This window comes from Homo sapiens, chromosome 13, assembly GCF_000001405.40.
Source record: "Homo sapiens chromosome 13, GRCh38.p14 Primary Assembly".
Taxonomy (NCBI): Eukaryota; Metazoa; Chordata; class Mammalia; order Primates; family Hominidae; genus Homo; species Homo sapiens.
In genome coordinates this window covers 75,807,164-75,819,738 of record NC_000013.11, presented here as the reverse complement: position 1 = coordinate 75,819,738, position 12,575 = coordinate 75,807,164, and the positions used below count along the sequence as shown (strand labels likewise).

The following is a 12,575-nucleotide window of genomic DNA, read 5'->3' as shown; positions in this document are numbered from 1 at the left end:
TTTTGTTACTATTACTCTAAGTCACTATTTCAACAATGCTTTGTTTTTTCACCGCAGACCAAAATCTTAAACGTTTCTTTGCATATTTGACTAAAGTTGAATATTGGTGGACACCTATGTCACACTACACTTACATAAAATATCTATTTATAACACTGGCATCTCCAACCCTGTTACAACCGAGGTGCATTCAGCATTATTACCTGTCCTGCAGCATTTCCTTAAACGTCTTAGAGCTTCTCTTAGACTTCTCAAGTGCCTGCTTTTCAATTTCTTCTCTCTCTTCTTTTTTCTTCTGCAGATCTGAAGTGTAACTTTTTCGACGATCTTTCCATTTTGCAAGGTCCTGACAGAAAAATCACATCAGCAGGGGCACACCTGAATTTCTATACACCCTTTCTAGCAGACAGAATGTGCCAGAGTATCTTATTACATCACTGAAACTATTCACTCCAACTGGATGCCAAGGTGCCCTAATTTTGCTTTTTATAGCCAGCGTTTCTGTACCAAGCCTTTATCTCATGTGTCTGTCTCAAAAACCTGACCTAATAAGATAGACCCCATTTTTGTTTTCCCAGAAAGTATCTGCCTCATTGCACACTTCATAAAGAATGCTAAATGCTTGTAATTAGGTGACAGTTAGATAGATCAGGAACTGTTTCCAGTTCGTTTTCATCTCACTCCAAAAACCTGGCTGTTCTGCGAAACATGTTTCACTGGTAAGGCCAAAACAGAAACACGATTGTGATGGTTACGCGCAGATGCATAGTCTCTTTCATTTCACAAACAGAGTTCAATCCCTACTTTGAGGCAGGCCCAAGTGTAGGAACTATTAATACACACATGCATAGGGCACTGTTCCCCTCAAGAAACTCTCAGTCTACAGGGGAGAGACAGACATATAAACAAAAGTTCAGTAACAAGTGTGACAGGATTGCATGAGACAGTGGGGTCCTAAGAAGACCATGGGTCCGGTTCCACCTCCGGAAGGGAAGGCTTTGGAAAGGCTTTAACTGGGAAGGTGAGACTTGAGTATGCAATTTCAGAAGGGTTAAGTCCACCTAGGTCAGCGCAATAAGGAACACGTGGCAGGAACAAACCAACACCTGTCCCCCATATCCCCAGGAACGTTAAGCCTAACCTTGCTGGGTGACCCCAGGGACAATCAACCTAATTCAGCTTTTCAATCCCCCCCAGAAACCTAGGCTGGTTCTGACACCCAGGGGGTTAAGACATTTTACAAGGTATAAAGTTTTCCATGTCTCCAAAATAGAGAACTGCTAAGAACTGTTAGTGGCATTCCAGTCCAAACAGAAGCACATTCAAGGTCTCAGACAAAACCGAATTTCACCCCCAGGGCATGCAAAGTACGTTTGATTTATACCCCTTGCAAGCCCACAGAGCCACTCCTGCTTTAAAACAGCCTGAGACCAATATGAACTCCTTGCAGAAAGAACAAAAGCAATGCGCATTTAGTCCTATAGCATAACTGGCATGAATTTTTATCTGATTTAACCTAATAGATAAGCCCGTAATACTTACTTTCACACCAGAAAATTAACCATGTATTTTGGCAAAGTGATATTGAATTACTGTTTCTTGACAATTAAATTGAGTTCCCAATTAAAAGAGGCACTGGAATTTAGAAGGGTAGCCAGAGCAGGGGTTTCTTCATTTCAGAGACTATTAATTCCTTTGAAAATTAAGATTTACTCTGACTCCTTTGCTCATGCTTTTGCTCAACTCTTACCATAAAGTTGTCCTCAAATTCCTTTGGGTTTGCTCTGATAGTTTGTCTACTGTATTTCTTTGCATTTCTTCAGTTTATGACAATTACTCTATTAAAAAAAATGGTCAAGCTTTTTTCTTCAGGATCAAAACTAAAGAGTAAGTCTATATCTATGTAAACACCTGGATATATGTCAACTCTGCAAAAACATTTCATTTTGGTTCATATTATTGACTTCTTCAGCCAAAATATTGCTCTGAGTTATATTACTTATTTCTCCCCAATTCTCCTTAATTAACTCTTAATTACTAACCCTTTTCATCTTTCCTTACTGATGCCAAGGTCTCTGCCAGAACCCTGTTCCTCTTCTCTCCCTAAATTTTGGCCAGGTCTTTCCCATTAGAGTATAGTTAATGTGCATATCCCAAATTCAACCACCAAAACAAGTAAGTAAGTTCACTATACTGCAAGGAAGCAACTCACATTTTTGAGAACTCAGAGAATGTTAGAAAATAAACATCCAGGTATATTTTTCACAATGGCCTTTAAAATATGCAATAATAATAGAAAAAAAAAGGTTTAAAAATCTTTGTAAAGAAAGTTGGTCACATTTTATACAGAACTGAATTCTGTAATAGCAAGGAAAATGGTCTTGAGTATATTGACTTTAAGAGAAGCAAAGAAAAGTTAGACAAATACACTCTCTCCCCTCCAATCCCCAAAATACTCACATCCTGCCATTTCTGATCTTGTTCTTTTAATTGTGATTTTATTTTCTGCATCTCCTCGTAACGCAGCTGACGCAAGTTTTGAACATCTTCTGCGCTGACATCACTCATGGACTTACTCCTACAACAAAAAGACTCATGGTTACTACGGAAGTTCACATGACCAGACTTAGGGGTTAAACTGAGGTTGGAGTTAAATTTGGAAATTCCACCTAAATTTCTACCTAGACGCTTCAGTGATAGTGTCACAGAAGTAGCACTACAGAGATAAATGGTGTTTTTCCAAAACTCAGAAACAAGAGCACTCGAGTGTGAATTTTTTCACAAAATGGCTAGATTAGCCCTATACAAGTCTCAAAAAAAACAAACAAACAAAAAAACAAAAAACAAGCAAACAAACAAAAACCCAAGGTTCATATTTAAAGAGGTCAATGCATGAAAGGATTACTTTAGGAAAAAATAGTCACTAGAATTATCTCTCTTTATTTTCTATCTCCTTCAAAGATAATCTGTTGAGGTTTGGCTGCCTTTTCTGGGCACTGATTAATAATTTAATGTTTACCTGATATTTTTCTCAAGTTCAATACCATGAATAAATGTGCTGTTGATTCTAAAAGATCCTATAAGATCCGCCCTACCACTGCACTAGACTTGTTCTCAACGCACCACAGGTAGTTTCTAATAGTCCTTTATACTACCTCTATAACCCTCTTCTTTTATTAGGGCAGCTTGCATGCTTTCAACTTGTAACACAAGGATGGACTGAGGTTAAGCTTTGGAAGAGCTCAATCCACAACAGAAACCAATGAACAGAGTGGGGTGTTGGGCACAGGCACATGTGTGCTCTCTACATGCACATAAAAGAGCCAGGTAAACTATACCAGAGGGGAAAGAGAGATTAAGGGTGGTCTCAAGGAAAGGGAGAGGTCAGATCTAAACACTGAGGAGAAGTAGGAATGAGAGCAAGAGCCTTTGAAGCTCTTTCCTACTGACCTTTTATACTGCTCTCCTGACTTTAAGTAACTGTACACCTCTTGCCTGGGCATCTAAATTTTGCCTTCCAAGATGTTGCCATCATTATTTCTTTTAAAGCATGTTTGCTCTTAGCTAGTTCAGGAATTCCTAGCTTAGCTAGCTCATGGAATTGTAATTTCTAAACTATTCCCAGTGCCATAATTAAGGAACCAGTCCGTCCTTTGACTCATTTCCACTTGCTTCTTGAATAAATCTTTCTGCATGGATATCCCCTAGGCACTTCAATTGCCAAAGGACAGATTAAAATAATATCTAGAAGGGATTTTGTAAACTGTAACTCACTAAATGCATGGTTATTGTTGATGTGACCAAACTCAATCTTGTCCCCAAACCTGCTTTTCCTCTTGTGGTTACTAATGTTGCTACCTGCCCTCCAATCATCCACATCTGAAACCTAACAACCACTTTTCACCTTTGTTTCTCCCTTCTCCCCACTTTCCATTAGTTATCAAGCCCTTTCATTCAGTGTCTCTTTCTTTCCATCTCTATTGCCAACACCCTAGATCAGAGTACAGTCAACTCACCTAGACTTCCAAAATGGCTTCTTAAATTAATACCCAACCTCCAGTTTCAACAAACATCTTTCCTAAACTATTTCCTCTGATTCAAAAGCCCTTTACCAGTATACATAACTTCTTAAATGCCATTCATACCTCAGGACCCCTGGACAGGTATTTCCAACTTCCTGTTCATTCTCCACTTGGAAGTCTAATAGGCGTCTCAAGTTTGTCATAGATAAAAAACTGATTGTCCTCTTCACAACCTGCTCAGCTCTCACTCTCCTTATATCAGTAAAGGTCACCTCTATCCTTCACAACATTGGGTCACACATCTTGGAGCCATCCCAGATTCTTCTCTTTCTCTCATATACCATAACTGGTCCCGTCAGTAAATCCTGTCCCTCTGCCTTCTAAATATATCTAGAACATAACCACTTCTTACCACCTGCACCATTACACCCTGATCCAAGTGACTCCTACCTGGATGATCACAATTATCACAGTAATCACATCTGCTACCTGGATTATAACAATTATCACATCATCTCCTACCCAGATTATTACAATTATTATAATAATCACATCACATCACCCACCTAGATTACAACAGTCTCCCTGCTTCCACCCCTTCCTACCCAACAGCAGCCAGAGAGTTCCTTTCAGACTGCACTCAGATCATGGTATACCTCTACTCAGCACCCACTACTTTCTTCCCATTTCATTAGAGTTAAAGACAGGTTCTTCCAAAATCTAAGAGGTCCGCCATCCCTGGTTCCTACCTCCTTCTCTGTGCTCATCAGTACCATGCCCCCACTCCCTCTGCTCCAGCCAACTGGCTTCCCTGCCCTGCTCACACCTCCTGCTTTTCCCCCTACTATTCAATCTGCCTGGAATGCTCTTCACCCAGATATCCACATAGCTTCTCTCTCACTTCCAGGCATCTGCTTAAATGTGCCCTCTGTGTTTCCTTCTCTGACCACCTTACCAGAAATAATAAATGCCCCTCTCCCCTGACCCACCCTAGTCCTTTCTCCTTCAAAGCATTTCTCACCATCATGTACATTTATTTACCTATCACTTGCCTTGCCCTGTAAGATTATAAAGCAGGAATTTTCTGATTTGTTTGCTGGTACATCACCTGTACCTGAAGGGGAGCCCAGCCTGCAGTAGGTGCCCGATAAATGTGTTAAATTAATGATCTAGATAATATTCAGCACTTTGATGAAGTCTTCCCAGCTCATCCATATCAAAGCTGCTCTGTCCCTCCTCTCAATCCCTCTACTGCTTCAGCTATACCTTTTTCATAGTACTGAACCCTCAGCCTTATGTCTGTTACAGTGCATGTGTGTCTGTGTGTGCATGTGCATGTTTGGATTCTCTTCCTCACAAGTCACGTGTTGCTTAGGAGGAAAACATATTAGCAGCACAAGGCAGGCAGGATATACTCATTCAATGTCTACGGTAAGAATGAGGTAGGTTTTCTCACATTTAATCCAGCAAAATTTGCTATACTTAAAATGTTTCTAATTCTTTTTGTAAGATTATTATGGCTATCCACAGTTCTATGAAGAAAGTTTTATAGGATTTATTAAGGACTATTAAGGAATAAATTATATTGAGAGAATATATGAGGACATATATGAATATAGATGGATCTATTAATGTAATATATCTAACTAGGTATGACTACTTATAAAGCTGATTTGTGTGAATTTGAGAATATAGATTCACGTAAGTCATACTATGAAGAATGAGGCTATTTGAACTAATACTATGACAGACTCACTAAGAAGAGGCAGGAAAAATTTTTCAAGAACCAGGTATGAGGGGTATCTAGACACTCAACACATGAGATTACATAAACTCCAGAACAAAAACAAAAAAGGATGCTAATATTTTAATAATCTTTTGATGGGAGGAAGGCTAGAAAGCCCAGCATCTCCCAGGGGTGCTCTCCTTTGGCCCTAATCCTCCTACACCATGCAATGCTAAGGTGTCTTCCCATGAAATGTGCTTCTCAAGACAGAGGCTGCATCCTCCTCCTGGGTGCCCCCAACACGGAGCACAGCCTGGCACACAGGTGGTCCTTAATGTGAACAAAGTGAACCAAATACACTCTGGAGTAGACAAGTCCCTGTGTAAGGCAGGAACATGAGCACAGTTCACTCCCTAGGGTACAAAAAGTTACCCACATCAAGCCTGCACACACTGTACAGCAGCTGGAGCCAGGCACTGCAACAAGCCAGGAAGGGAGGGCTGCAGGCCCAGCCATGGTGCCAGTTTTCACCCCACCCTAACACACATCAGATCACTTCCGAGCCCCCATTTCTCACCTGCTAAGTGAGGAAGGGATTGTTATGAGAACTGGATTTGGCTGTGTGGGTAGCATTTTTAAAACCGTCTGGGCCATATACTAATTCTCATTAAAGCAAACATGATTGTTTGGGATCTCCCAAAAGCTAACTCTCCAAGCTGCTTCAAATCAGAGAGGTCACCCCGGACCACAGTGATAAAATCCAGAACTTTTGTAGTAGAGGAAGGAGTCTCTCAGCCAGATCACAAAGAATTCTTCCCTCCCTTATCAGCATTAATGGCATAATATTCAGCTTCTGAGTGCTTACTGTGTGCCAGCAACCTCGCCAAGCAGTCTACGTGAATTATCTCAGAGGCGAAGCCCTAGTCTGGTTCTACCACTCACAAGCCACATGTCCTTGGGAAAGCGGCAATATTTGTTTCTCTATCTCCACATCCCTATCTGTCGGCCTCACAGATTTGAGATAAGTACCAAAGATAGCATCAGGAAAATTGTTTGGGAAAACTATGAAGGATTGCACAGCTCTAGTATGTTGTGTTGAATGAAGGATGATTAGCTGGCAAATCACATCGTATGTCTCTTACAAGTCCTGCTTCATTTGTATTTCCTTATTTGGAAAGGCTCCAATTTAGAACTGCAACTGGATTTTTTCCAAAAAATACAGATCTAGCATCTTGCCTTTCTGTTGAATAGAATTTTTTAAAAATAACATTTAGAAGGAAAAAGAGGAACTTTAAGGAAGAAGGTGTCAATCATAAAACAAGGTTGCTAAAGTCTTACTCTCTTCTCCCACTATGCAGATTGCCTACTATGCTCCTGTCACTTTTTGGCTAGTTTTAAGGCATTTCCTTTTAGAACTCACTTTCAGGAACTTTATAGGTGACTATCTAAGGAGTAAGGATCGAAAAGAACCAGCATGTGGCAAATTTTCTCAAATATAAAATCATGGATAGCCTTATACGGCAAACAGAAATTCCATGATACTAGGGTTAAGGCTCCCCAACTTTCAGAGGGAGATAGGAACATACTGATTTATGTACCTCTAAGTATATTTCCATCAGGTACTATAGGAATTCTCTGAAGAGCAATCAATGCTAAAACTTGGGCAAGAGGCTTTGGAATTACCATACACTATAATAAAAAGGCAATGTGATGTAGATTTTTCATTTATAGATTTATAGTCTCAATGAGGGTTCCTCAGTAGCACCACTGCTGACATTTTGGGGCCAGAAAACTATTTGTTGTAGGGCACTCCTGTGTACTGTAGGACATTTAGCAGTATCTCTGGCTATGAAGGCACTAGTTGCCAGTAGCACACACACCCCCACCCACCCAATGAGACAATAAAAAATGCCTCCAGACATTGCCAAATGTCTCCTGGGGGTGGAGGGAAATCCCTAGAAATAACCGAAATTGGCTTTTTTTCCCTTTCTTTTTTGCTGTCATAAGCCTTTATAATTCTACAGAATCTTTTGGCCAAACCCATAAGTGAAATGTGGGTGACTTAATTGTCTTTTATTACAACTTCATGTGAAATCAGTGTTCATTTCCTATTAATACTGGCAACAGATTCAACAGCTTAATCACATACAAGATTATTTCTATATATTCTTACAAAAAAATTTGTCATAAATTGCTTCTGCCAAAACACATGACCAAATTTTCAAGTTTCATGAAACCATACAGACATAAATCCATGCAAGACGAAAGCACATAGAAGAAACGACTACCACATACAAAGCGTCTTAAAAATAAACAGACAAACTGACAGGTGTTAAACGCCAAACAAAGAGCAAGCCAGAAATTAACAGTCTCAGACTTCAAAAGATACTGCACATTTCTCTTTAACCCAGTCCTTACAAAAAAGAAAGCATTCATGTTATAGGCAGTTATTTTTCAATGACAGCATGTTGAGCAATAATGCTTTTCCAGGTAAGTATGCCAAGCTTGACAACGTACATTATGTTCAGAGAAATATCACCCAGCATAAATATGAAACAAGTTCTAGATTAAAAGCCTACACTTAATCCAATTTAAATTTCTATTTTCTTTTCACTGCAGCAGATCTACTTAAGAAAAGCACCGGTAGGCAGGGCATGATGGCTCACATCTGTAATCCTAACACTTTGGGAGGCCAAGGCAGGAGGAATGCTTCGGCCCAGGAGCTCAAGACCAGCCTGGGCAACATAGCAAGACTCCATCTCTTAAAAAAAAAAAAAAAAAAGAGAAAGAAAAAAAGAAAGAAAAAGAAAAAGTAGTGGTAACTGACAGACTAGAGAGAAATCCTTTGTTATAAATTTGACTTATTTGACTTCAAGTGGTCCAAAACACACTTGAATTTTCTGAGGACACATTCATATTATAATACTTCCCACTGTTTGACATGTCATATATTATTCAGTCTCAATTTACAGACAATCTTGCTTTATTTGTGTAGTTACCTTGGCATTGAACTGCATGCACAACAGCCTTTAAAACAAATATTGTACTATCCGAAACAACTATCTTGGGATAGAAAACATTTGCTGCTGTTAGCTCTAATCCAGAAAAATCTTTAGCTTTTCAAGCTTTGGTTTTAGGTTTCTGTCTTCTTCTCTAACTCAGTCATATAATTTACCCCTCACTACAGGGAACACATCCAGCCACTGAAATGGTTGTACATGTTGACATTTCCACCACATACTTGTACTCTGGGTACTTTTATTTCCTTTAAGAAAAGCAACTATTTCTGAGAGCTGCTTACATTATAAAGTTATATTTAATTTACAAATGAAAATTTTTCTGAAAGTTACAATTCAACATGCTTAAAGCTGCAAAGAGATTTTTAATCAAGTTAAAACAGCTTTCCTATGACTTGAGAGTAGCAAATGTTTAAGCATCATGCAGATGAGCTGGAAAGCGGATAATGTGCCTTTGCATGGCACACGGAAAGCATGCAGGGACCCTGGTTTTTAAAATCAGTGGCTAACAAGTACTTGCAATTTGTTGCCTGTGGCTCAGTTACACCTTTGGCATCTAGAATGGTTATACTGCTTTACATTTAGTAGCTTCCAACATTTCTGAATTATCAAAGTTATAAAAAGCTATCAAAACTAGAGATTCTTATAGATGAAGTAAATCCTCATAAGGGAAGATACTTAGCTACTGAGGCTTGAGCAGATTAAAACATCTGTCATCCTTTAACTCTCTTCCTCTTGCTCAAACACTATTAGCCCTTAGATTCACAAAGTTACAGAAAGTTTGGTGGAAAATATTAAGATATAGCCACCTTGTGATTTTGTACTAAGAATGAATAAATGATTTACTGTAAATGTAGTTTTTGCCTGTAATCCCAGCACTTTGGGAGGCTGAGGTGGATGGACCACCTGAGGTCAGGAGTTTGAGACCAGCCGGACCAATCTGGTGAAACCCCGTCTCTACTAAAAATACAAAAATTAGCAGAGTGTGGTGGCATGCAACTGTAGTCCCAGCTACTCAGGAGGCTGAGACAGGAGAATTGCTTGAACCTGGGAGGTGGAAGTTGCTGTGAGCCAAGATTGCGCCACTTCACTCCAGCCTGGGCGACAGAGCGAGACTCCATCTCAAAAAAAAAAAAAAAAAAAAATGTAGTTTTTGCAACAGTGATATTAGAAATTAAAAATATTTTTGCAGTTTTTGAAGGTCTATTTTGCACTATAAATATAGCCATGTTATAACTTTTTTTTCCTAATCAGGAATCTTGAAAATATAATACTTCCAAATACCACCTAGGGAAGTTTAATGCATCCCTACTAACGAAGCTCCCAGTTGGCCGATTATAGGATAATGTCAACTGGGTGTATTCTAAACTTGAAGTAAATGCTAATATTCTTTTTCCATCACAGATTTTCTAAAATGTAGTAATTTGGGCTTTAGCATCCATAAATCAGAATTTTAGTCTATGTAGCAACCAAATACCAAAATACATATACCTAATCTTAGGCAAGTGCTTTTGTGACTTTTAATCAACTCATTAAATTTTTAAAAAGGAAAAAAGAAGGGATGAAGCTGAAGTTTAAATTTTTAATAAAACAAATAATTTTATCTTGCACTGGGCACCAAGACACAGAAATATTACCATTAGGTTGCAAGATAAACATTTCCCACTTAAAAAATATCATGCACAGCACACAACAACCCCATTTAGTGACATGCCATGCCAGAAATACAGTAAGTTATACAAAGAACAAACAACACGCACAGATTTTTTACTGTGAACCACACAACTTACCCATTCTCACCATAAATCTTTTGAAAGAGTCTAAGAAACCAGAAAACCAAAAATTAAAAAGTCATTTTTCCCAGTCATATTAGTTTCTAAACGTTCAATGTCTTCCACTTAAGAATCTAACTGGAGACGGACAAATCTCAAAAGGTCACTTCTTCCATCACATTCTTGATCATGTCTCAAGTTCTCATCAATTTCCTATCTCAGGAAATTCAGATTAAGCAAAATGAAGAATTTCCTCAATTTACTCTGAGCTAACAAATCCATATGAAAAGGCTTCCCATTGTCAGGAACTGTTAAGTTAGATTTGGATCCTCTAATTTTATTCAACCTAATCAGATTTGTCCATCTCTAAGTTCCACAAACTGAACATTCATCAAAAAGGCAAGTTGCATAATACAAACTATCAAAATGGCCATGATTACATACACATAAAATTCAGCAGACAACAAATACCATTCATGCATTTTAACATCAACGTTTACTCTGAACTTCATAAATAAAAATAAGTTACAAATGATAGTCCAAGAAACCTAGGCCAAAACCAAAAATTAAGTTAAATGAAATTTGCAATGCCATATTTTAAGGGAAAATTTCACCCCCCCAAAAAAATCAGACACTCTAAAATGTGAGCAACACATAAAACCAAACTATAACCAGACTGTTACAAAAATGCCTGAACATGAGAAGTCCAGAAACTTCATATTGGTGGATAGTACCACAGTACTGCTTAAGTCAAAGGCAAGGTTTATGTATATACAGTCTTAAACAGGCCTAAATAAGTTATTTAGAGATATGCAAATATGGAATTGCACTTTTTGTACAAAACGACTGAGGGTTTTTCAAAGCAAATTAAATTTTACGGGATGCTTCAAAATGGCACGCGACATGCAGAGTTGAGCAACACGATGAGCTGCTTTCTCGCATGAGAAAAGTTACACAAGACCATCCATTACAAGCAAAATCCTTGCAGAAACACACTCTGACCTCTCCACCATCAGCCTTTTCTTGTGCCTAAGTCTGCTGGCCTCCCGGATGGCCTCCCATCTCTTCAAGTCAGCCTCACTGCAGGGGCCAGGGGTGAAACTGATGGGAGGCACGGTAGTTCCCAGTTTCCAGGACTGAATCTTACGTGTCAGCATGTCATCTTTCTTCTGCCGATATGAAGGAACTAATATTCTACAGCTATTACTTTTTTCTTTGGATGGGCATGTCCTTTCAAGTACACAGAGAAATTTTGCTTGAATTTCTGGAGGAAGAGTCCAGGGTTCGGGAAAAGGGACTGGGTGGTATCTATCTGGGGCCCCAGACAGCGGCACTTCTTTCTTCTGTGCTGGAATTCGGCGAACAATCATATCATCTTTTTCCAAATCCGGAAGTACAAGTTCACCTTCTCTACACTGTAAAATTATATCTCGCTCTACAGAATCATCTTGCTCAGAGAACTTTCTAAAGTCTTCAAAAGCTCGGAGAACATATGGATTTGCATGGAAAGCCCCAGTCTTTCTGACAAAGAAATCATCATTCTCTAAGTCAGGATCCAGGGCTGCCATCTCGAGGTCATCTCTTCTATAGCCTGGTGCATAAGAGAGATTCTTCCTGCGGGTTATGAGCCTTGGGCCAGAAGTGGGATCAATTTTGGTATGTGTTTCAGAAGACAAGATGTCATCAGAGTATGTTTGGAGGGCCTGAAGCAGTAAAAACTGACTGATGCACAGAGAGGAAAAAGGAAAGAGAATCTTATTAAGCTTAGGGAGAAAAGGTAATTAGCAGATCGACTAGCCAAAGGTGATTAGCAGACCAACTAGCCAGTTACTGAGGGTAAATCATTTTAGAGGACCATTGTGGGGACTCTTGCTAGGAAAACAGACTAGCATTTAATCCAACACCCATGACTTTCCTGGATAATCCCTAAAGAAATAAGAGCAGAGCATACTTCTCAGGAAAGTTGGGCACCATGGAGGCCACGGATGGGGCTGGAGCATGGACTAGGTACCCCTCCCAGGCACACACAAAAGCCACT

The 12,575-nt window shown here is 39.2% G+C and overlaps 1 protein-coding gene across 56 annotated transcripts in view; it reads right to left on the bottom strand.

Moving 5' to 3' along the window:
- The window catches only part of LMO7 (LIM domain 7), a 239,437-nt gene that overhangs the window by 40,132 nt on the left and 186,730 nt on the right, over positions 1-12,575 (bottom strand). For 30 of the 56 annotated variants that reach the window (XM_047430323.1, XM_047430329.1, NM_001306080.2 and 27 more), the window contains 4 exons: positions 11,540-12,259; positions 10,556-10,585; positions 2,461-2,578; positions 204-346 (listed from right to left, as the gene is read on the bottom strand). In XM_047430323.1, the coding sequence (XP_047286279.1) occupies positions 204-346; positions 2,461-2,578; positions 10,556-10,585; positions 11,540-12,259 (1,011 nt within the window). The remainder of the gene's footprint in view (positions 1-203; positions 347-2,460; positions 2,579-10,555; positions 10,586-11,539; positions 12,260-12,575) is intronic. The other 26 variants (NM_005358.5, XM_047430352.1, XM_011535095.3 and 23 more) reach the window with 2 other exon arrangements.